The sequence below is a fragment of the Homo sapiens genome, chromosome 11, assembly GCF_000001405.40.
Source record: "Homo sapiens chromosome 11, GRCh38.p14 Primary Assembly".
In the NCBI taxonomy this organism is placed as follows: Eukaryota; Metazoa; Chordata; class Mammalia; order Primates; family Hominidae; genus Homo; species Homo sapiens.
In genome coordinates this window covers 17,573,899-17,599,053 of record NC_000011.10, presented here as the reverse complement: position 1 = coordinate 17,599,053, position 25,155 = coordinate 17,573,899, and the positions used below count along the sequence as shown (strand labels likewise).

The window sequence follows — 25,155 nt, the reverse complement described above, 5'->3', positions numbered from 1 at the left end:
CCTTGCAGGAGACCCCTAAAGCCAGCAGCAAAGCCATGAGGAGCCAGGCGGATAGACCTGGGATAAAGCTTAGGAGCAGCATGCTTCACACATAGGCACGGTCTGAAGAGAGCCACCGACTCACTGCACACCCCAGACCACAAGGTCAATGCATCTGGGGTCACCCTCCAGAAAGAACACTAGGAGTCAGGAGACAGGCCCGCCATGTGGCTAGGGGCACGTGCCTGCCTCTCCCTCCATCTGCAGACTCAGAAGGCTGAACCAGAAAATTAGAAAATCTCCAAGTTTCTGGTTTCCAGGGTATACCCAGTCAAGGGGTGGTAGCCGAGAAGAGTCATTAAAAAGCCAGCTCTCTAGAGTCAGACCTGAGTTCAAATCCCACCTCCCTCACTCATCAGCTGTGCATACTGGACCAAATTACTTAACGTCAGTGAAATTTAGTGCCCTCCTCTAAGGTGGGACCGCTACGTACATCTGCCCCATAGACCTGCCAGGGCCTGGACCAGGGTAAGGCAAAGTGCTCATCTTGGATGTGAAATTTAAGGGGCTACCAAAAATCTCAGTAATCAAGATAAATACTATCTTAATGCAATATTTTTAAAACATCAAAATTAATGCAAAAATATCCATGATAAATAAAATATTACAATTTAAAAATAAAGACAAGATCATTAACAGTCTCCCACTGAGCCAGAGTAGAGACTGAGACAAAAGGAAACATTAATACTATTGATCCTTTGATAGTTTGTTCATCACAGTATTTTTACAGCAATTTTTATTTTACAGAAATATTATATTGAAACATTATTTCTCTTGATTACTGCATTTTTGGTGCCCCCTGAAACTTTGTACCCCAGGTAAGCACCTCAATCACCTCCCCCTAGTCTTGCATATTAAATGAAGTAATGCACATAGGCACAAGGCCTGGCACACAGTGGACCCTCAGCAAGTGTCCTTCTGCTCCACCTTCTTCCTTTGGCGTCTTGCCTGCAGGCCTCAGGGCTCTGGACATGTCAGTACCGGGTGTCCATGAAAAAATGACAACAACCCCCACATTAGCACAGGGCACTGTGCCAAGTGCTGTACATGCAATGCCTTGTTTAAACCTCACAGTACCCTACAAGGTAGAAGCAGTTATCTTCACCCTTCTATTACAGACGAAGAGACTCAGAGTGTGAGGAATATGTCCCAGGCCAACTCAGTGGAGCTTGGGGCCAAACTCAGTCAGTCTGACCCCAGAGCGCAAGGCTGTGTAATGGCCATCGCACCCCAAGGTGAGGTGCTTGCACGAGGAAAATCCTTTGGTGCGTGGGAATAAATAAAAAATAATCAATGAAGAATTTAGCCTTCTTTATATTTTCTTTCATCTTTTAAATATTAATTTTTAAATTTGTTTACATATTTTACTTGAGGAGTATATCTATGGATGCATATCTATGTACGCATATGTATGTGCACAAAATGATTTTACTTGATAGGTGTGTGCAATGAAAAGCATCTGCAGACCACCATTACTCTGAATAAACTGATCATCTGTGCTGCCTCTGATGGGACCTGCAAACCTCAGCTGACAAAGGACTTCTATATTCATCACCCAGTTTGGTCCTCAGAGTCAACCTTGGGGGCAGGTCTATTCCTGCTTCTCACACAAGAAAATTGAGCCCTAGAGAGGTTGGGTGAGTTGTTTGAAGTCACATAGCTTGCGAGTGGTAGCTCTGGGTCTAGGCTCCTGACTCTTCTAACAAAGTGGCTATGAGCTCGGGTTCGCATTGGACTCTCTAGGGATGAACCCTGGCTCCTCCACTAACCTTGAGCATGTTACTTGATCTCTCTCTCTAGGCTGTTTCTTCAACTGTAAAATAGGAAATATATAGCCCTGTTTCAAAGGGTAGTTGTAAGAATTCAATGAATAACACGCCCAAAGCAGTTGGTGCTTGGTACATTCTAAGTACTCAGTAAATGCTAGACAGACTGCCAGTACCCCTAGGGCATGCCCACAGGTGACACTCTACTCTGTCCCCTCAGGTGATTGTCTGGGACACTCACGGCAGAGGCGGGGGGTTCGCCAGTCAACAGCCACCCCATGCTGGCAACACTGGTGGGCATAAGCGGAGACGCTGGCACAGAAGCACTCACAGTCACCACCCTGGCTGCAGCCACATGTGTCTGTCAGGCAGTTTGAGTAAAACCAAGTGACATCAACCTGGAGAAGGTCAGAAGTTAGAGGTCAGAGGACAGATCCCAAATGTCAGATCTGCATCTTTTCAGCTGATGACGACCAGCACCAACATGAAGGGACCACGGGATAGGGTGAGCTATCCTGTCTCATGAGGTGTGAAGGGAGAAGGACAAGGAAGCGAGAACTCCATGGTCCAGGCAGATGTCCACTTTTGAGAACTAAGCTCTCTTCTCTCCTTAGTCTGGGCTGTTTGATCCAGGAGCCAAGAATGGCTGAACAGGAGTAGAGCCTGAACTGCCTAGCCAGGGCCAGAGACAGCCAAGGCCAATCTGACAGCAGCCTTCAAGGCCTGCAGGGTGCCATGCAGTGCTGAGCCCCAGCCTCCTCTGTGTGCACTGAAGCAAAACAGGCAATAGGTGGTGCCTCAGCATGAGGGCTTTGGGTCCACCATTTAGAAGAACTTCATGATAAGGAGGAAGGGCCAGATCAAGATGGGCTTGAAAAGGGCACAAGCTCTGTTTTCCTGGCTGTCTGTGCCTGGTCATCTGGGGAAATAGGACGGACTCATCTGAGCTGGCTGGAGGCAGGGGAATGGCAGAGGCAGATCTTCCCTGGAGATCTGAGCTGTCTCCTCTGAGACATGGGGGAGTCTGAGAGCTGAAGGGATCCCAGGACAGTGGAGGGGGCACTCGGGAGGAGCCGAGGCTGGGGTACACTCACCACAGGGTGGCAGATCTCAAACACCTCACTGAGCAGGATGCTGCACTCCTTCTTGGCAAATGGTTCTCGGAGAGGATTCAGGACACACATATCCCGAGGATCGAGGGTGTCTGGGCACTGAGGGGCAAAGGCAGGGCTGTTGACCTCCCTACTTGCCAAATGCCTGTTGCCTGACATGACAGACAGATTTTAGGGTGGCCGCCATGATCCTTGCCCCCTGATATTCAGGTCCTTGTAAAATCTCCTCCCCTTGAGTGTAGAAGGGACCTATACCTTGCCTCAAACCAACAGAATATGGCCCAGGTGATGGGATGGACGTGGCCATGTGTATGTGATCACATGATTCCCAACATGAGATCCCAGAGCCCATCTTGCTGGAGTCTCTCCCTTGCTGGCTGTGAGGAAGCAAGCAGCCATGCTGGGGGACCCCACATGGATGGAAGTGTCAGTGGTCTCTTGGAGCTGAGGGTGGTCTCTGGCCAAAAGCCAGCCCAAAATATGGAAGCTCCCAGCCCTACAGTTGCAAGGAGCTGAATGTAATCAACAACCATGTGAGCAGATGAGGATGCAGTTCCTTCCCCAGTAGAGCCTCCAGATGAGAGCCCAGCCCTAGCTGACACCTTGATTGCAGCCTTGTGAGACACTAAGCAGGGAACCAAGTCAGGCCGTGTCCTGACTCCTGGCCCACAGAAACTGAAATAATACATGTGTGTTGTTTAATGCCACTAAGTCTCATAAAATTTTTATATAGCAGTAGATAACTAATACAGATGTTTCCGATGTCTGCTGAATCTCCTTCCTTAGACTACATTTTCACTGGGGAACCCCATGGTATGCCGAATGGGATTAGCAAGAGAGAAATATGATGTACATGGGGGTGTGGGGAGAACAAGGGTTAGTCACCCACTGAGCTTCTCTAAAATGGGGGTGTGTTAGGGCGCACTTTTCAGAGGCTGTGGGAACCCTTGTCCCACCTCAGGATTTCAGAGGCTGTGGGAACAGCCCTGCCCCACCTGGAGCAGTTGAACTCCAGGCCATGCACGACTGCTTCCCTTACCCCAGTCTACATAGGCTCATCTCCGTGTACTTCCCAGCAGGGCATTAAGATCACTAAGTCCAGGAGAGGCAAATATGTAACGCTCATATCACCACTCTCCACTGCTGCTCCTATGGCAGACATAAATAATCGATCACAGTCCTCCTTCCAGCTGAGCTTGACACAGATCTTGGATGTTTCTCAACATAGCTCCCAAGCAGTCTGTTTTGACCAATCAGAGTTGTCACATGAAGTGAAATCTATTCATCAGCCCTCTCTTGGCCCAGTCCCCTCTCTGCAGAGGAATGGGACTTACTCAAGGTCACCCAGAAAGTCAATGGATGACCCAAGACAAGAACCCAGGTCTACTGCTCTCAACTCAGTGCTGTTTCCCCCACAGCTCACAGATTGGCAGCCTCAGTTAGACATCTCGCAGACTGTCCTTTGGGCAGACCCCCTCATTTCTATCTCTGCTAGTGTTGCCCTTCCTCTCAGAGACCTTATCTCTGATATATTCATCTATTTAAGCATGGCCCAGCCTTTAAGTGCCAGCACCACTCTCATCTCCTTCAGGAAGCCTTCCCTGATTGCCTCAACCCACCTCAGTCTCTCTTGGTCTCTTCTCTGTGCCAGACCTAGTGCCAGGCACTGGGAAGCATCATCATGAGTGACCATCTCTCCTGGGACAGACTTTGTCACCTTCCCAACCCTCCACCACCCTACCAGGGCTTGGTCCAGGGTAGGGTGGGCAGCTGGATTTGTGAGACAAGACTATGCATGATCTTTGGGCCATAGGACAGAGTCTAGGGCTAGGGATGCAGTCAGAGGCTGAGAGAACATTGCAGGAGAAACCTCACACCAGCATCCCTCTTCCCTGACCTTGGGCCGGGTTCAGTGCTGGCAGCGCCCATCTGAGTGAGGGGCATAAGCCAGCCTGGAAGAGAGGCTTTACCTCAACTGCAGCCCAACTGCTGCCAAACTCCTGGGGGTTAGTTAGCTCTAGGTTCTCCGGGGTCCTCATCTCATTGATGGTTTTTAAGTCAAAGTTCCCACAGAGGCCCGCCAGCTGGCCCTGAAAGGAGAGAGGACACCATGGTCAGTTGCAGGCCTGCCAGAGGTGAGCCACGGGCAGAGGGGTCACCATGAGCCCAGGAGTCTATCATAGACCTAGAAGCCACTGCTGAGGTCACAGTTTGAAGAGGGATGGAGCAATGTCAGAGGAGAAGGGGCCCAGAGCAGGGCGGAGGAGAGAACAGAGGCATGCTCTTCTTGGCTCCTCAGGGAGGGTACAGCTCACCCAAGGACACCCAGGGCTTGGCTTAGCCCCAGGCAGGAGCAGAATGTCACTGCTCATGTAAGTACCTGCCACTGAGGCCCAGCCTGGACGTGCACTGTGGTTCTCTGGTCCCACAAGAGGGTGATGTGCTCCTGTGGGAAATGCACCAGTGTGAAAAATCCCACTCGCCATGTGTGGACCTCCTGCTTGTCATCCAGGAAGCTCTCTGGACTCTAGAGGGACAGAGATGGTCAGTCCTGAGCCCAAGTGCCCCCTAGCGCCCAGGTCAGCTATGCCTGCAGCCAGGCCCTCACCAATGCCTCTGCCTCCCTCATACCCTGACATTGGCCTCTGTGTTCCTGACCCTGGCCAAGAGGAATTCAGTCTGGGCTCCTAACTCAGTGGCTCTCCAAGAGAAACTGCTATGGTAAGGAAGCCAGTCCTCAGCCCTCTTCTGCCCCAACCCTGGTAACCTGTAAATTGTCTACACAACCTTCACAGGCACTGAGCCTTACAGGATTTCCGGAGTCATCATCAAAGACAATGAGTGAGTTCCCAACGTTGATGGAAATAAATTTCCTGCAGATCATGCCAGAGCTGTAGCAGTTCACATTCTCTACAATCACAGAGAAGCTGACATCTGATGTGCTCTGAGGAGAGAATAAGTGAGTCCAATAAAACAAGGGAGAAAGGAGATCCTGCCAAGAGGTACAGAGGTGGAGGAACACGCTCTCTGGAGTGGCTTTCAGTCCACTTCTACTTTGTGTTAGCTGAGCTGTGTGACTTTGGGCGACTTCTGTTCTCTGAAGCTGTTCTGGTTTTGGATGCCTAGTGCGGTGTTTAACATGTAGTGACTCCCCAAAATATCTGATGAATGAATGTATTAATAAATATATAATAGGGATGATTGTGTTGATAGGGTATGGGGAAGAGGCACTGTCTCACATACATCCTTGATGCTAGTGTAAGCTTTTTGCAGGGGAATTTGCTGGCATTGAATATTTTAAATGTATGTAGCTTTTTATACAGCAATTCTACTTCTAAGAACCTGGGGATACATCCACACAGGTATTCACTGCTGCATTTAAATATTGGAGACAACCTAAATGTCCATCGATGGGGAAAAAATAAAGCAAACTCGAGGGCATTATTTCTGTAGAATTCTACACAGCTGTTCAAAAGAAAAAAGTGTGTACCAACTATATGAAATCAAGTCCGAGGTATCCTCTTAAGTAAAAAAAGCACATTGTAGAATCTTATTCACATAAACTAAACAAAGTGTGTGTGTGTGTGTGTCCATGTCTCACAGAAAAAAGTTCTTGCAGGATTCATCCCTGACTGGAGTGGTTATTTAACAGGAGATAGGAACAGAAGAATTGGGAAGGGGAATATCTGTTTTTAATATACACTGCATTAACCTTTAAAACTTTTTAAATAAAATGAGGTCAATTATCTTCATCTTGTAGAGTTACTGCAATTATGTGAAAGACCCCAGTACAGTGCCTGCCCTATAGGTAGGATTCCTTCCATAAAAGGTTTTGTCATTGTTATTATTACATGTTATTTTTATTATTGATGTTACTCTTATAAGATGAGATAGGCTATTAGCAAACCCAAGGTCCCCTGGGTGACACTCCTCCACCACATCAGTGCCCATTCCTCCTGGGGTAGGGATCCTGCCTTCACTGTGCCCCCCACATCACCAGTTTTCTTCCTCCAGGTGAGCCGAAAATTATAACCTGTGACTCCTTTAAGCACACCAACTCTCCAGTCAGATTTCTTGGTCAAACTTGACCCCAGCTCTACCACTGACTGCTGTGTGACCTTGGGCAAGTTACCTAACTTCCCTTAGCCTGAATTGTTACATCTATAACATAGGATCCATAAACTTTACCTTGTAAAGCTGCTGTGATATTTAAGTGAAATAATCCACAAAATATGGCTCAATATGCCCCTAGGTACATAATAAAGCTCAAAAAGCATTAGCTCTTGCTATTATAGACAGAAAAAAGCACTGGGACCCAACAGAGCAAGATTATAATGGTGAGCAGACAGGCAGTGTGGTATCTCAGGACTGGTGAGCTCCATCCAGCCCTGAGCTTGTGCCTCAGCACTTCTTCCAGTCTCTAGATAGCCCCACCTCAGGGCTTAGATCCCCGATCACCCAATTCTGCATCAAACTGGAGTCCAGAGCACCAGAGTGCCCTGACAGCTGTGCATGGAGCCAACTGGGCAGAAACATCCGGGAACTCACCTTGACCAGGTGCACTTTGCATGCCCCCACGAAGTCAAACGGGAGCCCATCAAACGTGCGGTAATGCCGGTCCCCATAGGCAGTGCAGGTGGAGGCGCAAGGGTGCAGGGTGCACTGGAATGAGCCCCGCTGGCACACACTGAAAAACACATGCCCAGACCAGATCACAGGGCACACCCACCCCATACCTGAATACTCATGACAGAGCCATGGCTTATCGAATGCATGTGCACTGTGTCCCTCGGCAAAGAGGTCAACAAACACCAACCTCTAACAGGAGCCTGGAGGGCAGGATTGTGATTTCATGCAGGAGACACAGGGGCTCAGAGAGGTTATGAAACACAGCCAATAAATAATGGGCCTGACATTTAACCCAGATCTATTTAACTCCAAAGTCTACACTCCCTTTACCACTCCATTCATTCACTTACCCATTCATTCTACAAATATTAGGTGCCTACCATATCTCAGGCATTCTTCCAAAATTTTGTGATACATCAGTGAATAAAACAAAAAGAAAACCGTCTGCCTCTGGGAATGTTTATTCTAGAGGGAGAAGAGATACACTAAATAAAAAATAATAAGGCAGTGCAAGTATGTACTATAGTGCATTAGAAGGCAATGAGTGTTATGGGGGAGCAGGATACAGGTCACTGGGAATGTGGGTGGAGTGGGTTACAATTTTAAATAGGGTGGTTGGGGCATGTGTGAGTAGAGACATAAAGGAGGTGACAGAGTTAACTCCATGGGCATCTGTAAGAAGGGTATTTCAAATAAAGGGTACAGTCTCTCCAAAGTCTGTGGGGAACACTCGGGAGACAACATGGCTAGAATGGAGAGGGCAAGGGCAAGAGAGTAGAAGAGGAATTCAGAGGGGCGACGGACGGTCAGGTGACATGGGTCCAATAAGGCCACTGTAGGAAGGTTAGCTCCTGCTAGGAATGGGGGGTGGTGGGCATTGGAAGACTTGATCATGGGAATGACACTGTGTGATTTATGTTCCACTCTGGCTGCCGCACCGAGCCTAAGCTCAAGGCGGTCAAGGGGAAGCAGAAAGACCAGCTGAGTGGCTACTGCAGCACATCAGGGAAGAGATCATGGCAGCCTGGAGCAGGGTAACAGCAGTGGAAAGAGTGAGAAGTTGTCAGATTCTGGATGTATTTTGAAGGTAGAACCAAAGGGATTTGCAGAGAGGTTGGATATAGGTAGTGAAAGACAAGACTCGAGGTTGACTCCAGGTTTTTTGGCCTGAGCAACTGGGAGAATGAAGTCTTCATCAACTCAGATGGGGAAGGCTGAGGGAGAAGCAAGTTTGAGGGGGAAGATCAGATGTGCTGTTCTGGACATGTTGAATTTGAGACCTCCATTAGACATACGTATGGTGATGTCAAGTAGGCAGTTGGATGTGTGAGCCTAGAGTTGAGAAGCATGGATTGGACTACAGGTAGAAATCTGGTAGTCCTCTGCCTATGGATGGGCCTTGTAGCCATGAGATTGGGAGAGTTCACCAAGGGAGTAAGTATAAATAGAGAGGAGGAGAGGTCTCTTGGGTTGCTCCAATATCAAGAGGTTGGAGAAGAGGAAGAACCAATGAAGGAAGCGGAGAAGGAACAGGAAGAGAGGTCGGAGGAAAAGCAAGAGGAGGTGGTGTCCCAAAAGCCACATGAATGAAAGTATCAAGAAGGAGGGAATAATGGAAAAGTGATCAACTGTGTCAAATGCTGCCCACAGGTCTAGGAAGGTGAGGACTGAGAAAGGCTAACTGGATATGGCAATATGAAGTTACTGGTGACCTTAGTAGGAATAGTTTCGAAGGAATGATGGGGAAAATGCCTGACCGAAAGGGCTTAAAGGGGAACGGGAGAACAGAAAGTTGAAACAGCAAGTATAGAAAAAGTGTTCAGGGAGTTTTGCAATAAAAGGCGAGCAGAGAAATGGAGCAGTTCCTAGGAGGTTGGAAGTTTTTCAAACGATATATTTTTATGCAATAGGGATGAGCCAGTAGAGAATGCAAATTGTTTATATGGGAGAAAAGAGGGAGAGATGCTGCAGTGGTTCCCTTAGGTGGACAAGTGAGGAGCTAGGACCCAAAGGACAAGTGAAGGAACTTCACTTTAGATAGGAACACGGACACTTAGTTCATCTGTTGTACGGGCAAAATACATGGGTACAGAGCCTGGAAAGTTCTCTTCTCATGGCTTTAATTTCCTCAGGGAAACAGGAAGCAGTATCATCAGCTGAGAATAAGAGGGGAGGAGGTGTCAGGGCTTTGAGGAGAGAGGAGAAAGAGTGGAATAGTTATCTAGTGGGATGAAAGAGCAAAGGAGACCCGGGAAATACAATCCGAGAGCCCATCAGCTCTAAGGGCCTTTTCGACCCTTCTGAGCCCATGAATTTAAAACGAGAGCTGGAAGCCGGGTTTTGCACATCCCTCCAGTCACATTCAGCTGCATGGGTGCAGGTACAAAGGAAGTAAAGGTGTGGATGTCACCAGGGTTGTGGTTTTGCCAAACAAGTAGGGCAAAGCAGGAGGAGGAACAGAAGTGGGGCTAAACTCAAGGAAGTGATTATGGTTCTGGACCACAGGTTGAGGTAAAAGGGAAGGGGAGACATCGAGGGGGTGAGAGGCAGCAGAGAGGTGGTAGGGATCATGGATGAGAAATCCCTGTGGGGTTGCAGGATTGAGGGAGTCAGGGTATGAGAGGGAGTGGAGTAGAAAGACAGAAGGTGAGGTGAGACGCATTGGGATATGGGCTGGGTGAGTTGTTGGGAACGGCAAGATCTACAAGATGACTCCTCACTCCACTAGGGTGGAGAAAGATCTTTGGAAGAGAGAGGATGAAGAATCTGAGATGTCGGGAGATACTAGAAGCACCTCTAAACAGATACTAAAATCTCCAAGAATTAGGGAAGGAGTAGGGTTGGCAAGAGTCACAGAGCTCAGTGCCAAAATCTTTAGAAGTAAAGGGGCATGACCCAGGGCTCTGTGTCTGACAGCAACAATGAGGGACAGGCTCAGTCATGCACTGACTCCACGTGGCTTCCTAAGCCTATGTATCCATCCTGTCATTCACCCACCTACATGACCTACAACTCAGCCATAAATGCATAACTGCTGGAAATACTCCCACTGTGCCTGACCATGCTGCCGACCATGCTGCCGACCATGGTGACACGGAACACAGAGCTGGGAAGGGATGGGTAGCCAGGCTCCATCCTGGTAAAGAGATCCCAGCAAATGCTCGAGTCACACCAGCGCAACACATCTCCAGCACCTGCCTCCCCACGGGAGAGCAGCTGGAATCTGGGCCACAGTGGCAGGTCCTTCGAGGGCAAATGTTAAGGTTTGTCCCTGTATTAGGAGGTAGAATTTTTACAACTGAGTTAAAAAGTAAAAACTTGCCCATCTATCTCCTAGTTTTCTATGGAAGAGAGGACATCCACCCTATGGCCAGTCAGCCTCTCCTATGAAGGCAGATGCCTCCTCATGTCAGGGTTCCAAATCCTAAATAATCCCAGCTCTTCGGCCTTGGCTCCAGACTCCTTACCACCTCTGCCTTGGATCTGATTTCTGAGCACAATGCACTCACAGGAGAGGATTCAATGTAACTCAGCTATCCCCTGCCTGAGGGTGAGGGTGCTGCTACAGGGGCTGGAGTCCAGGGAAGTGATGGAAGTGAATCCATCTCAGGGCCTGAGCACCCCTGGGCAAATCCAGGCCAGCCATCCCCAGTCTCCCACCTCATGTGCCTGGCATCCCTGGTGAGCTCTGGCTCACCACAGTCACAAAATCTCAAGAAAAAAAATGAGCACACAGCCTGTGCAGAGGTCTGTGTCTTAACATTATACCCAGGGACTTCTGGGGTCAGACAGCCAGGGCTCTGACCCTACAAGTACACTCTGATGTATCTGGAGAAACCGGCCTTGGAGCAGATGGGCTTGACCGTGACCCTGCTTCTAACACAGAAAGAAACACTATGGCCTTCCTCTAGGCCAGAGAAACAGGGTGGTTTCAGTCCCAGCATGGGACAGGGACTGGGGGCCATGCTCCAGCTAGCCAGATGGGTCTCTGAGATAGAACCTCTCTGAGCTTCTCTGCTGGGCCCTGAAGTTCCAGTGCCAGGGGCTTCCTGCTCACCTCAGGCCACCCCTAGCTGGTTCTCCAAATTGGAACAGTGACTGGGTTTGCTCTCCAGCATCAGGGCACATTCATCGTTCCTCACCCCGTCCCCCAGCATTCTCTCTATCAGAAAGCTGAGTCTACCCACTGCCTACCCACCTCTGTGTGGCCCAGAACAGGCCCTGCAGAACTAACCCCGAGTCTGTTTCCACAGAATCCAATCCAGGGGCACACACTCCCACATATGCACACTTACATTACTAAACAAATACCCTCACACGTACTTTCATACACAAGAATGTACCTATTCACAGGCAAACACAATGCACATTTACACAGACATTTACACTCACATGTGAATACAAATATGTATAGCCATTAAAAACATACATCCACACACTTTGCACATACATGTGCACACATTTTAAATGGATCCATATGCACAAAAATATATATAAACACACCTGTCTACATAAACAAATTTCTAATTGTACATATTCACTGACATATTGAGATTTGTGAATGCCTGCCTTTTTATATACATCCATGTACATGCATGTTCACATATGCACATGTGCATTTTGGATTTGCACTCACACTCATATGTTCATATAAATATGCAAACAAATTGCCATGGTTACAAATATGCATGTATACACATTCATATACATGACTGAACAAACATACTCATGTAAAAACAAAAATATTCCTTTGTATGCATATACTCCTATGTGTACACAAACCCCTATACCACACACAACACACAAACGCACAACATGAATACAAACATAATGAAATGGGAATGCTAGACTATACTCTTGATTATGCACCCATATCCATGCCCCCTCCCAGCAAAAAAGCAAAGCCTGCTTGGGACCCTCACTTACCAGGTATGGCAAGGAGACATCACCTGGTCCCCAGGGAAATACTCCTTCCCCTTCCAAGTGCAGGGGCACTCCTCTGGCAGGAAACATGCATCCCCGTGTCTGAGCAGACTGTAGAGACACAGCAAGCAGGCGGTCAGGAGAGCACTCTTCCCATAGCTGCCATCTGTGGAGGACCCTGCCTCAATCTGGATGCTCGGAGGTGGCTCCCAGCATTTACCCTAGAAGAGACTGACTGTGTATTCACTCCCCATCCTGCTGCTGCTCAGTGAGGTTCAGAGGGACCTTGGTAACTGGAAAAACCAGTAACAGACTAGGCCCAGCCTGAGTCTCTGTCATCCATCAAGAAGCAAGGCTTATCTCTACCAGCCACAGCCCTACTGACCAGGTGGATGCCAGTTGCTCCTCAGGCACTAGTTGTATACTAATGAACAGGTCATGGATATGGGCGATGACCCTCCTACCCAGGTTGTTCATGGAGCTCTCAGACCACAGGCCCCAAAGCAGCAGTGCTGCTGTCTTCTAGTCTGGTTTCCATGAAATCTGAGCACTCCCAGGCCGGAGCCAAGGATGTCTCAGGGCACTTATTAAAGATCTCAGGCCATAGCATCACGCTAGATCAGGCATCAACAGGATACAGCCTGGGGCAGGGCTAAGAATACAAACTTTGGCAATAAATAATTTTTTGTTCAAATCCAGGATCTACCTGAAACAAGTTACTTAACCTTCCTATTTTATTTTTCAAAAGAATACAAGCACATGGGTTAAAGAGGTGAAAAGAAAGGGTGCTACAGGCATTATACTCAAAGGAGTCCCTTGTTAGTTGCTCCTGTATCCAGATTTTCTGCCTGGAAGCACTTTCTGGACTATAGTACAGGATGATGGAACCCAAGCATGGCACGATGCATCACTGAGGGGAGCAGACAGAAAATGGGGTTGAGGGCTTCTGAAGTGGCCAGCATATCCAGGTCAGGATGTGAAATAGAAGGGATTAAAGTCAAAGTTCTAAATTAGAAATACAAGAGCAAACTAAATCCAAAGTAAGTAGTAGGAAAGAAATGAATATAAGAGGAGAAATTAGTGAAATAAAAAACAGAACAATAGAGAAAAATCAGTGAAACCAGATGCTGGTTCTTTGAAAAGACCAATAAAATTGACAAACCCCTGTCTAAACTGAATGATAAAAAGGGGGACAGGAATACTCAAATTACCAATATCTGGAACAAAGAGGAGATATTGCTACAGACTCTACTGATAGTAAAAGGAAAATAAGGAAATATGATGTACGATGTTAAGTGAATAAATTTGACAACTTAGATGGAATGGACAAATTTCTTAAAAGACACAAACTATAAATATTTAGCCAAGAAGGAATAGGTAAACTGAATTAGCCCAATATCTTTAAAGAAATTAAATTTGAAGTTAAAATTCTTCCAAGATTGGTAAATTCTACCAGGCACTTAAGGAAGAAATAATACAAGTTTTAAACAAACTCTTCCAAAAATTGAAAAGGAAATCATACTTCCCAACTCATTTTATAAGACCAGCATTAATCTGATACCAAAACCAGACAAAAACGTTGCAAGTATGGAAAACCACAGACCACAGAATATTAAATAATACGTCAGTCACAACTGGGGTTTATCCCAGGAATGTAAGACTGGTTTAAGATTTTAAAAATCAACCAATGTAATTTGCAACATTTATAAAATAAAGGGAAAATATCATATGATACTCCAATAAATAAAATCAATTGACAGGCTTGGTGCGGTGGCTCATGTTTATAATCCCAGCACTTTGGAAGGCCAAGGTGGGAGAATCACCTGAGGCCATGAGTTCAAGACCATCCTGGCCAACATGGCAAACCCCCTTCTCTACTAAAAATATGAAAATTAGCCAGACGTGATGGCCCATGCCTGTAATCCCAGCTACTCTGGAGATTTAGGCATAAAAGTCAGTTAGACCTGGGAGGTGGAGGTTGCAGTGAGTCAAGATTGAGGCACTGCACTCCAGCCTGGGCGACAGATTGAGACTCTGTTTCAAAAAAAAAAAAATCAAATGACAATTCAATACCCATTTATTATAAAAAAATTTGCAGCATAATAGAAATAAAAAGAAACTTCCCCAATCTGATAAAGATCATTTGCAAAAAAAACTACAGCAAATGTTAGAATTAATGGTAGAAGATTGACTGCTTTATCCAAAACAAGACGAAGGCAATGATTTTTACTTCCATCACTTCTATTCAAAAGTATACTGTAAGTCCAATACAGCACAATAAGGCAAGAAACATGGGAGATGTAAAAATTTAAAATAAAGAAGTAAAACTATCTTTATTCACAGATGACATGATCACTTACTGAAATTCTAAAGAATCTACCCAAAGAAAAGCCACTAGAACTCATAAATGAATTTAGCAAGATTGCAGAATACAAGGTCAGTATGTGAAAATCGACTGTATTTCTATATTGTGGCAATTAAAAAATGGAAAATTAATAAAATAATACCGTTTATAACATCAACAAAAACAGCAAATACCTATGAAAAATTCAATGAAAAATGTGTAAACCTTCACATGAAAACTATGAAATATTGCTAAGAGAAATTAATGAAGACCAATAAATAAGAAAATAATACCATATTTGTGGTTTGGAGGACTTACTGGTGTTAAGATGCCAATTCTCCCCAAATTGATCTATAAATTCAACACAGTTTCATTCAAAATCTCAGGGGCTTTTTTTTTGGTAGAAATTGATAAGCTGATCCTAAATTTACTCGGAAATGCAAAGACCTAGAACAACTTTTTGAAAGAAAAGATAAAAGTTGAAGAACTCTCACTTCCTGATTTCAAGGCTTACTATAAAGCTCCATAAATCAAGAGAGTGGATATTGGCATGAAGACAGACAAATAGATCAATGGAACAGAAAAGAGTCCTGAAATATACCCACGTGTATACAGTCAATTAATTTTTCACAAAAATGCCAAAGCAATTACATGGGGAGAAGAAAGTGTTTTTTAAAAAATAGGGCTACAATCACTGGATGTCCATCAAAAATAAAATAAAATAAAACATACCTTGACTCCATTTTGAAACATGTGTAAAATATAATAATTTTAAATAGGTCATAGGCTTAAATGTAAAAGCTAAAATTGTAAAGCTGGCCAGTTGCAGTGGCTCCCACCTGTAATCCTAGCATTTTGGGAGGATTTCTTGAGGCCAGGAGTTCAAGATCAGCCTGGGCAACATAGCAAAGCCCCCATCTCTACAAAAAATTTAAAAAATTTGCCAGGTATAGTGGTGCACACCTGTAGTCTTAGCTACTCAGGAGGCTGAGGCGGGAGAATCGCTTGAGCTAAGGAGTTCAAGGCTGCTGTGAGCCGTGATGGCACCACTGCACTCCTGCCTGAGCAGCAGAGCAAGACCTTGTCTGTAAAAAAAAATAATAATAATAAATTAATTATTTAATCCATTACATTTAATTGTAAAGCTCCTAGAAAAAAACATAGGAGAATATCTTTGCAACCTTGAGGACTAACTATAAAGAAAAAAATGATAAATTAGACCTCATCAGAAATGAAGGAGATTTTTAAAAGAAAAAAATTAGACATTATCAAAATTAAAAACTTCTCATCAGAAGTTTTTAGATACTTCAAGGCATGTTAAGTAAATAAATAGGTAAACACACATTGGGAGAAAATATTTGCAATACATATGCCTGACAAAGGACTTGTATCTAAAATACATAAAAAATTTTTACAACTCAATCAAATAAAAAAAGACCAAATTTAAAAATGGGCAAAAGACCAGAACAGACACTTCACAAAGAAAGATACACGAATGGCCAATAAGTATATGAAAAATTACTCACAGTCATTAGGGAAATACAAATCAAAGCCATAATGAGATAGGACCATGTACTTGCTGAAATAACAAAAATGGAAAAGACTGAAAACACCAAGTGTTAGTGAGGATGTGGAACAGTCAGATTCTCATATACTGGACGTGTAAAATTGTCCAATCACTTTGGAAAACAGCTTGACAATTTCTTATATAAATATGAATCTACCCTAGGACCCAGCAATTCCACCCTGAAATGTTCATCCAAGGGAAATAAATAGCAACCTTAGTCAAAATAGTCCCAAACTGAAAACAACCCAAATGTCCATCAATGCTTGAGCAGATAAATAACTGTTTTCTTTTTTGAATCTTGAAAGCTTTATTGCTGAGCTAAAGAATCCAGATCAAAATGGTTTGTGAGTGTGTATGTGTGTGTGTTTGTATATATATGGATCTTTTTATGTAAAGTTCTAGAACAGGAATAACTACTATATAGTGACAAAAAGCCGGCCAGTGTTTGCCTAGCACTCACAGGGGTAGGATTGACTACAACGGAGTATGAGGGAAACTTTGTTGGTGATAGAAATGTTATATATCTTAATTATGATGATATATACATAGATGTCAAAATTCATCAAACCATACACTAAAAGTAGGTACATTTTATTATATATAACACCTTTGCAGATAAATAATTGTATATTCATACAATGGAATACTACCGGGATAGAAAAAGGAACACACTACTGATAGATGCAACAAGGTAGGTCAACCTCAAGAGTTAAGGAAGAGAAGCCAGGCCCAAAAGGGTATATAGTGTATGATTCTATTTACATGAAGTTCTAGAACAGGCAGAACCTATCTATGCTGGTGTGAAGCACAGCAATGCTGGTGGGGGCGGAACCGGCTGGAAAGGACTGACAGAAGACTTGTATCTAGAATAGATAAACATTATATATTCACATTAGGGAATATATAGGGCGCCAACATTAGGGAATTTTCTGAGTGACAGAAATGTTCTATATCTTCACAGGAGTGTGGGTTACAAGCAGGTATCAATTTGTCAAAGCCTAACACACGGTATACTTAGGATCCATGTAATTTACTGTATATAAATTACGCAACACTTCCTAAAAGGAAAAAAAGAAAAAAGAGTGAGGCATCAAAAGCTGACTGGAGGCTCCCTATTTAAGGAGGACCAACCATTTTGTTGAGAAACTCCCAAGATGTCAGTTTCTGTTGTATTTTTCTATTGGCCCAGCCAATTTTCAAGGGAAGAAATCTCTGTCATCTCTGAGCTGGGAGGCGAATGTCTCCATTTGCTGGGATTCCACTTGCTTTTCACTGAATCTCCCTGTTTCCACGATGCATCTCACCCCTCCTGGTGCCTACAAGGCCAAAGTCTCTGATTTGGTTTCTCTTGAAACTCTCCTTTCTCCTGCTGGATGGGGCTGGAGCAGTGGTGTGACCCCAGCAGGAGCAATAGGGGATCTGGAGGCTGAACTCCTCCTTGCACAGACTTGCAACCCAACCTCCTGTCTCCCTCCCCCGACGCCCCCTTCTATTTATTCCTCTTGGATGAACACTTCAGGGTGAACTGCTGGGTGCTCAGGTAGATTCATGTTTATATAAGAAACTGCCAAACTATTTTCCAAAATGCATGTACTATTTGTTTCTCCTTGGCCTTCCCCTCTGCAAGGCCAGTTTCTACACATCCACCCACGTTCCTTCTTCAAAAACTACTGATCTTCCACTCTTCTCTCTTTGTCCCTGGGGATTTATACCTTTTTACCCCATTATCATTTCACTGTGGTTGTGGGAGGAAGCAGGAAAGAAAAAAAAGCACATGCTTAATTCACTACGTTTTACCTGAAGCCACTTAACCCTTCTAAGCCTCTGTTTTTGTGCTTAAAACAGGAATAATGACACCTTCCTCCCAAGGTCATTATGAGAATCTTACAGGCCTGGGCACACTGCCTATCACCTAGTAGAAACACAATAAATATTGGTTTCTTGCCCCTCTCTCCCCCATAATTGCATCAGACACCAGTGAAGGGCTGGCTCACTGCCTTCCTTCTTCAGCCCCAAGCCTTGTCTCCAGCCACTTCTTGAGGGGTCTTCTCTGTTGCCCACCATCCATTACTCCCTCCTTGCTCTTAGCAGACCTGTCTGCATCTCTGAGCACCTGCTGTGTGCCCATCATGGGGAAGAGCATGCAAGGACTCAAGGCTTTGGCCTCGGTCCTCAAGGTGCCTTCAATTTGCAAAGTACCCTCTCTTTACCTTGTAGGGGACCTTCTCACTCCAGGGACCCCTCAGGGAGGTTATTTGCAAATGCATGGGATCCAGATGAGAAGAAACAATGCTATCTGCTCACATAGAGTGTTTACTCTGTGCCATTTTACAAATGAAGGAGCTGAGGTTCAGGGTAATTAATTAACTCAGTTAGGAAGTGGAAGAACCAGGGTTCAAGCTTGACTCCTGAGTCTGTGCTCATTGTGCCTCACTGCCTAGTGGCCCCAGGGCCCTTGGCCAGACCCCAGATTCAAAGAAATATGGAGGCACACAGACAGCCACAGACCGTTCTTTGGAGATTCTTAGATACATCATTGAGAAGGGCATGGTGGCCAGACAGTCGGAACTCTCATGCACAGAGGTGATCATGGGTCCCAAGGGTCCTAGGCAGGGGTTGTTAAGGATGGTTGGGCATCTTTGGGAGCCCTATCCCAGCAAGAGGATGTTCCAGGATGGTAGGAAATGCCTGCCCTTCCCTTACAAATTGAGACTGTACCAATTTCACTTTGACAAGCCCCTGAGGCATGTGTGTAAGCTCCTTAGAGGGCCTTTGATACAGCACGCAATGGGTCATTGGCCAAACTGAGCCCAGAGCCCGGTCTCCCGGTCTCCAGTCCAGCGCCCCTTCCACTGTGTCTCTGTGGCCTTGCTACTACTCTTGGCAGTGAGTGACCCTCGGTTCCTGACCCCAGACACCCTGGCTTTTCCTGACCTCAGGCTGAGAGGCAGGCTGTGCACCCAGGATGGTGTCACAAGCGGCCTTCAGTGACAAAGATACTCTTCAAATGCCACTCCGGGGCCCAAGTGGCAGCAGGTGGTCAGGCCTAGGGTTGCTTGCAGGTTCTCTTTCAGACACTTGCCTGGAAGGGGCAGGCTTACAACCCACATTATGATATCTATATAGGTGACCATCACGGACCTCATGTGCTCTGGGCCAGCGGCTGGGCTTGGAGTAAGGAGACTTGGGTTTGAGTCCTGGCTCTTTGGGCACCACTTCCCTCCACCCTTCCCCTGGCCTCAGTTTCTTCACCTGCAAAATGGGAATCATGGTCCTCCCCTCCTCTCTGCCATGGATGCTCTGAGACTGAAGGAGGTAATAACATGAAAGTGTCTTAGAAGCAGTAAAGCTCCAACTGACTGTCCCCTCCCCTTCCTACCCTAGAAGCCCTGACCCCCATGTCATTTCCCTAGGCTTTCACGCCTGGGCCACGACTCCCGGGTGACCACTAATCTCTGCATAAGCTGAAGGGCACAGCCGGCTGTTGCCAAGCCATGGGATAAGGTGCCAGCTGTCTTCTCAGCCCAGACCTGGGAATGAGAATGGGCAGAGCTGGGTGTCAGGCCCTGGGCCACGTCGGTGTACAGAGCCCACACAAGGCATGCCCACAGAGCCTGACTCACGCAGCTCTCACGGCTTTAATGGCAGGGTTCTGGGGACCTGGGAATGAGACAGTTTTCTCTGGGTGGGGTCTTCTTTTTTTAATATTTTAGGGGCACTAGCCCTCCTCCTGAGGGCTCTGGTCAGAACAGTGCAGAGGAAGAGGTTGAGAGCTGAACTTGAGTTTTCTCTCCAGTGGCCTCCAACGCACTGCAGTGCCCAGCGTGCCAGACACCCCACTCAGTGCTTCCACTGAGTGAGCTCACTGATTCCTCACAGTAGCCTGTTAAGGTGGTAGGCCTGATGATGGTTCCATTTCACAGATGAGCGGCCAGGGCTCTCCCTCCTCCAGCCCACACTCCAGGCTGGATCCCCAGCCTCTCCTCTTTCCCAGACTCCTCTCTGGCCATTACAGCTGTGGCTGGCCAGCCTGGGCCAGTGCCTTCCTACAAGGCCATGTGATGTTTTCCCTGCCCCCACTCCACCCTGTGGCCCTTGGTTCTGCCAGCCTTCAGGATCACGGGCCCACGACACCATGGGTACTTACCCCTGGGGACAGGCGCAGCCCGAGAGGCAGGGGCCACGGGCTGACACGCTCAGGTTCAGCAGTTGCTGCTCACACGTCCTCTCCCTGCTCAGCTCCAGGTCCGTGTGCAGGTCGCTGCAGTTCACGAAGACCTGGCCTGCTGGGCAGGCAGCAGCTGGAAGAGAAGAAGATGGGAGCGGAGGCCCTGGGGCCTCAGTATGGGCTCCTGGGCTACAGGGGCAGCAGCTGGAGGATGGAGGGAGAGACGGGCTCGGAAGTCTCCTCCCTCCCTGGTCGCTCCTGGGCATTGCTTGGTTTCCCAGATACGCCTCACAGAGGGAGGGGTAGATGTGTGCTGTCTGTCACACAATAAGACTGCGGCCACCAGGACCCATCTCTGCACGTCCTCCATACCAGACTACTCCAGGTGCTTCCCCTGCATCATCATATTGAATCCTGCAACAACTCTAGGAAGTATTATTGTCCCCCATTTTCCCAAATAATGGAGTGAAGCCACTTCTCCTCCTCCCCAAAGTCACCATAAAGTGAGAAGTGCCCCAGAGGGACCAGGAGCAGGGCTAGAAAGAGGATGACCAATCAGTGTGGCAGGGGGCCAGAGGACTCTGAATGACAAGGAGAGTCACGGTCCTGTTACCACTATTTCTGTGACATGAATGCACCCCCTCTCCCTCAGCCTTCCATAAGGTCTGCCCCGCACATTCACACTGCGTGAGTGATCTTTTTTAGGAAAATTAATAAAAAGGAGCTGAGTTCCATGCCCAGGCTGGGATGAACCAGAGAGAAAGGCATAGGCACAGGAGGTGAGATAAAAGTCCCAAAGAGCCAGAAATCCAAAGCCAGAAGTGACCAAAGGAAAAGCGCTTCCAGGATTATACACAAAACATGGGGAGGATGCAGGAAACTAGGTTATATGCCAAAGAGGAAATGAAGGCCCAGAGAGGTAAAGTGGGTTGCCCAGGGCTGCACAGCTAGTGAGTGCCAGGGAAGATTTGAACCCAGGCTGGATGATTCTGCAGGCCCTGCTCCTAACCACCTACTGTATGATTATTCTCCAATCCCTTCCTCCACCCCAGGAAGCCCTCCCTGAATGCTCCAGCCCCCAGGCCCTACTCCACCTCACAGCCTCTCAAAGGTTGACCCCCATCCCACGACCACTGTTCCACCCCATCCCTATCTCTGTTGCCTAGGAGGGTCTCAAAAGCCCAGGCTGTCCTGCCTACCTCTGTGACCCCACACCTAGCATTGTCCTGGGCAGAGTCCGCCTCAGTAGATACATGACAGCTCAGACAGAAAACATCAGGACCCAAAGGAAGTCAGGAAACTGCCCAGACACCCAACGTGGTTGCCCCAGATCATTGCCCTGAAGGAAGACAAAGTCTCAGCCTCTCCTCTGCAGGCAGCAGAGACAGCCACTAGGGTGGGGCTGAGGCTGGGACAGGGCTTCAGGTGCCACCCTCCAAGCTGGAGTCTTTGCCAAGAGGGCAAGGAATACGGAAGGCCCAATGTAGGGCAAAACCTGGAGTGGGCTTGCCACAGCCTGATCAGTGCTCCACTCCCCACTCTCCTTTACCATGTGGAGCCCCCAGAAGGGCTCCACCCCTCCACCCACCCTTACCTGGGGCTCTGCTATCACAGCTCATGACTCCATCTTTGCAGTGGCTGCAGAGAGAGACGGGCCCTGGGGTTAGCCGACCCAGTCACTGCAGGACCCAGACACCCCATGTTGCTGCACTCGGGTCACTGCAGAGTTCAGAAAGACACCCTCACTCACTTCCCCCTCCCTGCACAGAGCAGGGCTGGGTGTCCCTTCACAGAAAGTTCCATCAGCTGCACTGTCTTCAGTCAGCAGCCTCCCTTTAAAGAGAGGACAAGAAGGCTGCTACCTACGGAGCTCACCAGTGGCCCAGGGATGGGATGTCACTGTCTCCGGGGGGATAGTCCACTCCCTGGAAGTGGCAGGAGCACTGGTTCCTATAAAAAAATGGGAGCAAAGAAAGGTGAGCAGGCTCAGGAGCTAGGGCAGAGACTGCCAAGGACAGGGACCCCACCCTCAGCCAACCAGGTGCATAAGGACACAGGGAAAAGTAATGGTATCTACAGTGACATGTGACACATCTCCAGTGAGCAGAAAAGCCAGCCTGACACCAGGGATAGAGGTCACGGCTGGGTCCCAGATTCAGGGCCATGCACCAAGCTTAGACAAGGAGTCACTGGTCTCCACACACTCCTGCAGCCAGCCTCATTTGGACCGGGGAAGGGAGGGGCAGTAAGAACAGGAGCACAGCTCCTGAGCCCATGCCATGTCAGGAACAGGGCAGATATTCAGCTGGTGCTGCATCCTGACACAGGTGTCCTGGTCACTCACGCCCAGCATCTATTCCAATTGCTCAGTGCCTGTGCTGCACTGGTTGTTAAGTACATTGACCTCTGGCCAGGGACACCCAGCCAGGCCCTCTGCATACATAATCTCATTGATTCTTCGCAGGGGTTCTGTAAGGTAGGGATTCTTATGCTGTCTTTCTTCTTTTGTGCAGGTCATCTAAGGGCAAAGGCTATGTTTCCTCCTCACACAGCTCCCACAGAACCTGCCGATTATAGGCACGTGCAGGTCTTGGAGCAGCGCAGTGAGTTATGGACCGGACGCCGAAACTCTTCCAGCTCCAGTGCTGCTTAACAACCACCTCCCTCTCTATATATAAGCCACACAGACCCCTTTCGTTGGCAACACTCAACATCAAGGGGTGAGAGCCTCCAGGCACACATCTGGATCTCAAGGGAGGATTCTGTAGTTTGGGAAGGCCTATGAGTGATTCCTATTTACCCTAAAGGGGCCTCTCTCCAGCCCTGCCACCATTTGAAGACCACCAATCAAATGTGTATCATTTTACAGACGGAGAAACAGAGGCCTGGAAGGGACCAAGGACCTTGCCAGTCGCCCCAAGATCACGTGGGGTCGCTGCCTCCCACTATCCTCCTGCTGCTCTGCCCTCCAGCTACACTGAGAACAAGCTGGGCCTTGAGCCACCCCCTCTTCCTGGAGCCCCCTTCCTCACTCCCTCAGGTCTCTGCTCAGACCTCACCTCCGCAGAAAGGCTTTACTTCCAGGCCCACCTCAAGTAACACACCAGGAATGGGACTCCCTGCTCTCACTCTGCCTTACTTGGCTCAACAGCTCTTGTTGCCACCTGTCCATTAAGTGTCTGTTCATTTATGTGTCTGTCTTGCAACCCTAGAATGTGAGCTCCCTGAGGGCTAAACTCTGCTTTGTTCATTGCTGAATTCCCAAGCCCTAGAAATGTCTGGAACATACCAGAAAGTCAATAAATTATGTGGAAGGAGAGGGGAATGAGGAGAGAGAGGGCCCCTGGGCTCTGTGGGGTTGTTGTGTCTTGTGAGGAAGCTGCTATAATGGCCCAAAGGCCAAGGCTGAGGAGAGATCTGGGAGGGAGGCCCCAAGGAGGGAGCCCACCCACCTTACCCACCAAGGTCTGGCCTGCAACTGTGAGGGGAAGGAGGGACACAAGAGGCCCAGCCAGGTTCCCCAGTCTCAGATGCCCTGGAGACCCCTGGCCTCACCTTCCCACCCAACTCAGAGATCAAGCTGACCCACTCACCGGGGGACACAGAGGTCAGCCTGGGTGTCCAGATAGGTGTCCGGTGGGCAGGCACAGCCCTCCACACACTCGTCTCTGCTCAGGTCATCGCCACCATCAACCCCACAGGCCTCAGGGCTGGCCAGGTCCTGGCAGGTACGTCCACACGGGGCCACGCAGGGGCTATACTCCTTGGAGGCCTCACAGGACAGTGCTGCAGTGAGGGGGGAGTGGTGCATGCTTTGTCTCCCTCATCCCCACAGTTATGTGGAGTGGGGCTGTCATTCTGATGAGGAGAATGGAGATCCAGAGAAGTTCAGACATTTGTCTGAGGTCACACAGCAGGTCAAGGTCAGAGGCAGGATTTGAACCCAGGTCTGACTCCAGAGTCCCACTGCCTACCAATACACTGGAACGGCAAAGCAGCAGGTGGGTCCTTCTACCAAGTTCAGCCTGGAAAACCACTGGCAGGTCCTTTCCTCCAAAAGGCATTCCTCTGAGGCAGTGACATTGGGGAAGGGGTAGAGATCACCACCTGCTAAGGCCCTGCACCCACCCCGTAACTCACACATAGACACATGCATGAGCCCAAGTGTGTGGACACACACACACACACACTCCTACCCCCTCACTCCCCTGGCTGTGTCACACACAGGTTGTGGATATCAACTGTGCTCCCTCTAGCAGCCTGTTTTGCTCCCTTTGTCCCAAGACTCAAGACTGCCCTCTCCTTGTGTGGCCAGCATCCCACTCCCCCCAGAGTCTCCTACACTCTGTGGGATCCAGTAGATCCACTGAGACCATCCAGTTCAGCTGTTCTCAACCCAGGCTGCACATCAAAGCCACCTGGGGAGCTTCTGAAAATGCTGATGCCTGGGCCCCACTGCCAGATATGTTGCCTTCGTTGATACTCGATGTGGCCCAGATGTGTGAATCTTTTGAAAGCTCCTATGGTAACTCTAATATGCAGCCAGGGTTAAGAACCAGTGGGCCTGTCCAATCCCTTTTGGGGAAACTAGCTCAGAGAGAATCAGG

The 25,155-nt window shown here is 47.8% G+C and overlaps 1 protein-coding gene across 2 annotated transcripts in view; it reads right to left on the bottom strand.

The window, feature by feature from the left end:
- The window catches only part of OTOG (otogelin), a 98,786-nt gene that overhangs the window by 46,991 nt on the left and 26,640 nt on the right, over positions 1–25,155 (bottom strand). For both annotated transcript variants that reach the window (NM_001277269.2, NM_001292063.2), the window contains 11 exons: positions 24,142–24,334; positions 22,424–22,498; positions 22,143–22,186; positions 20,528–20,681; positions 12,473–12,580; positions 7,466–7,604; positions 5,727–5,861; positions 5,298–5,444; positions 4,888–5,007; positions 2,900–3,016; positions 2,047–2,203 (listed from right to left, as the gene is read on the bottom strand). In NM_001277269.2, coding sequence (NP_001264198.1) covers positions 2,047–2,203; positions 2,900–3,016; positions 4,888–5,007; positions 5,298–5,444; positions 5,727–5,861; positions 7,466–7,604; positions 12,473–12,580; positions 20,528–20,681; positions 22,143–22,186; positions 22,424–22,498; positions 24,142–24,334 — 1,389 coding nt within the window. The remainder of the gene's footprint in view (positions 1–2,046; positions 2,204–2,899; positions 3,017–4,887; positions 5,008–5,297; positions 5,445–5,726; positions 5,862–7,465; positions 7,605–12,472; positions 12,581–20,527; positions 20,682–22,142; positions 22,187–22,423; positions 22,499–24,141; positions 24,335–25,155) is intronic.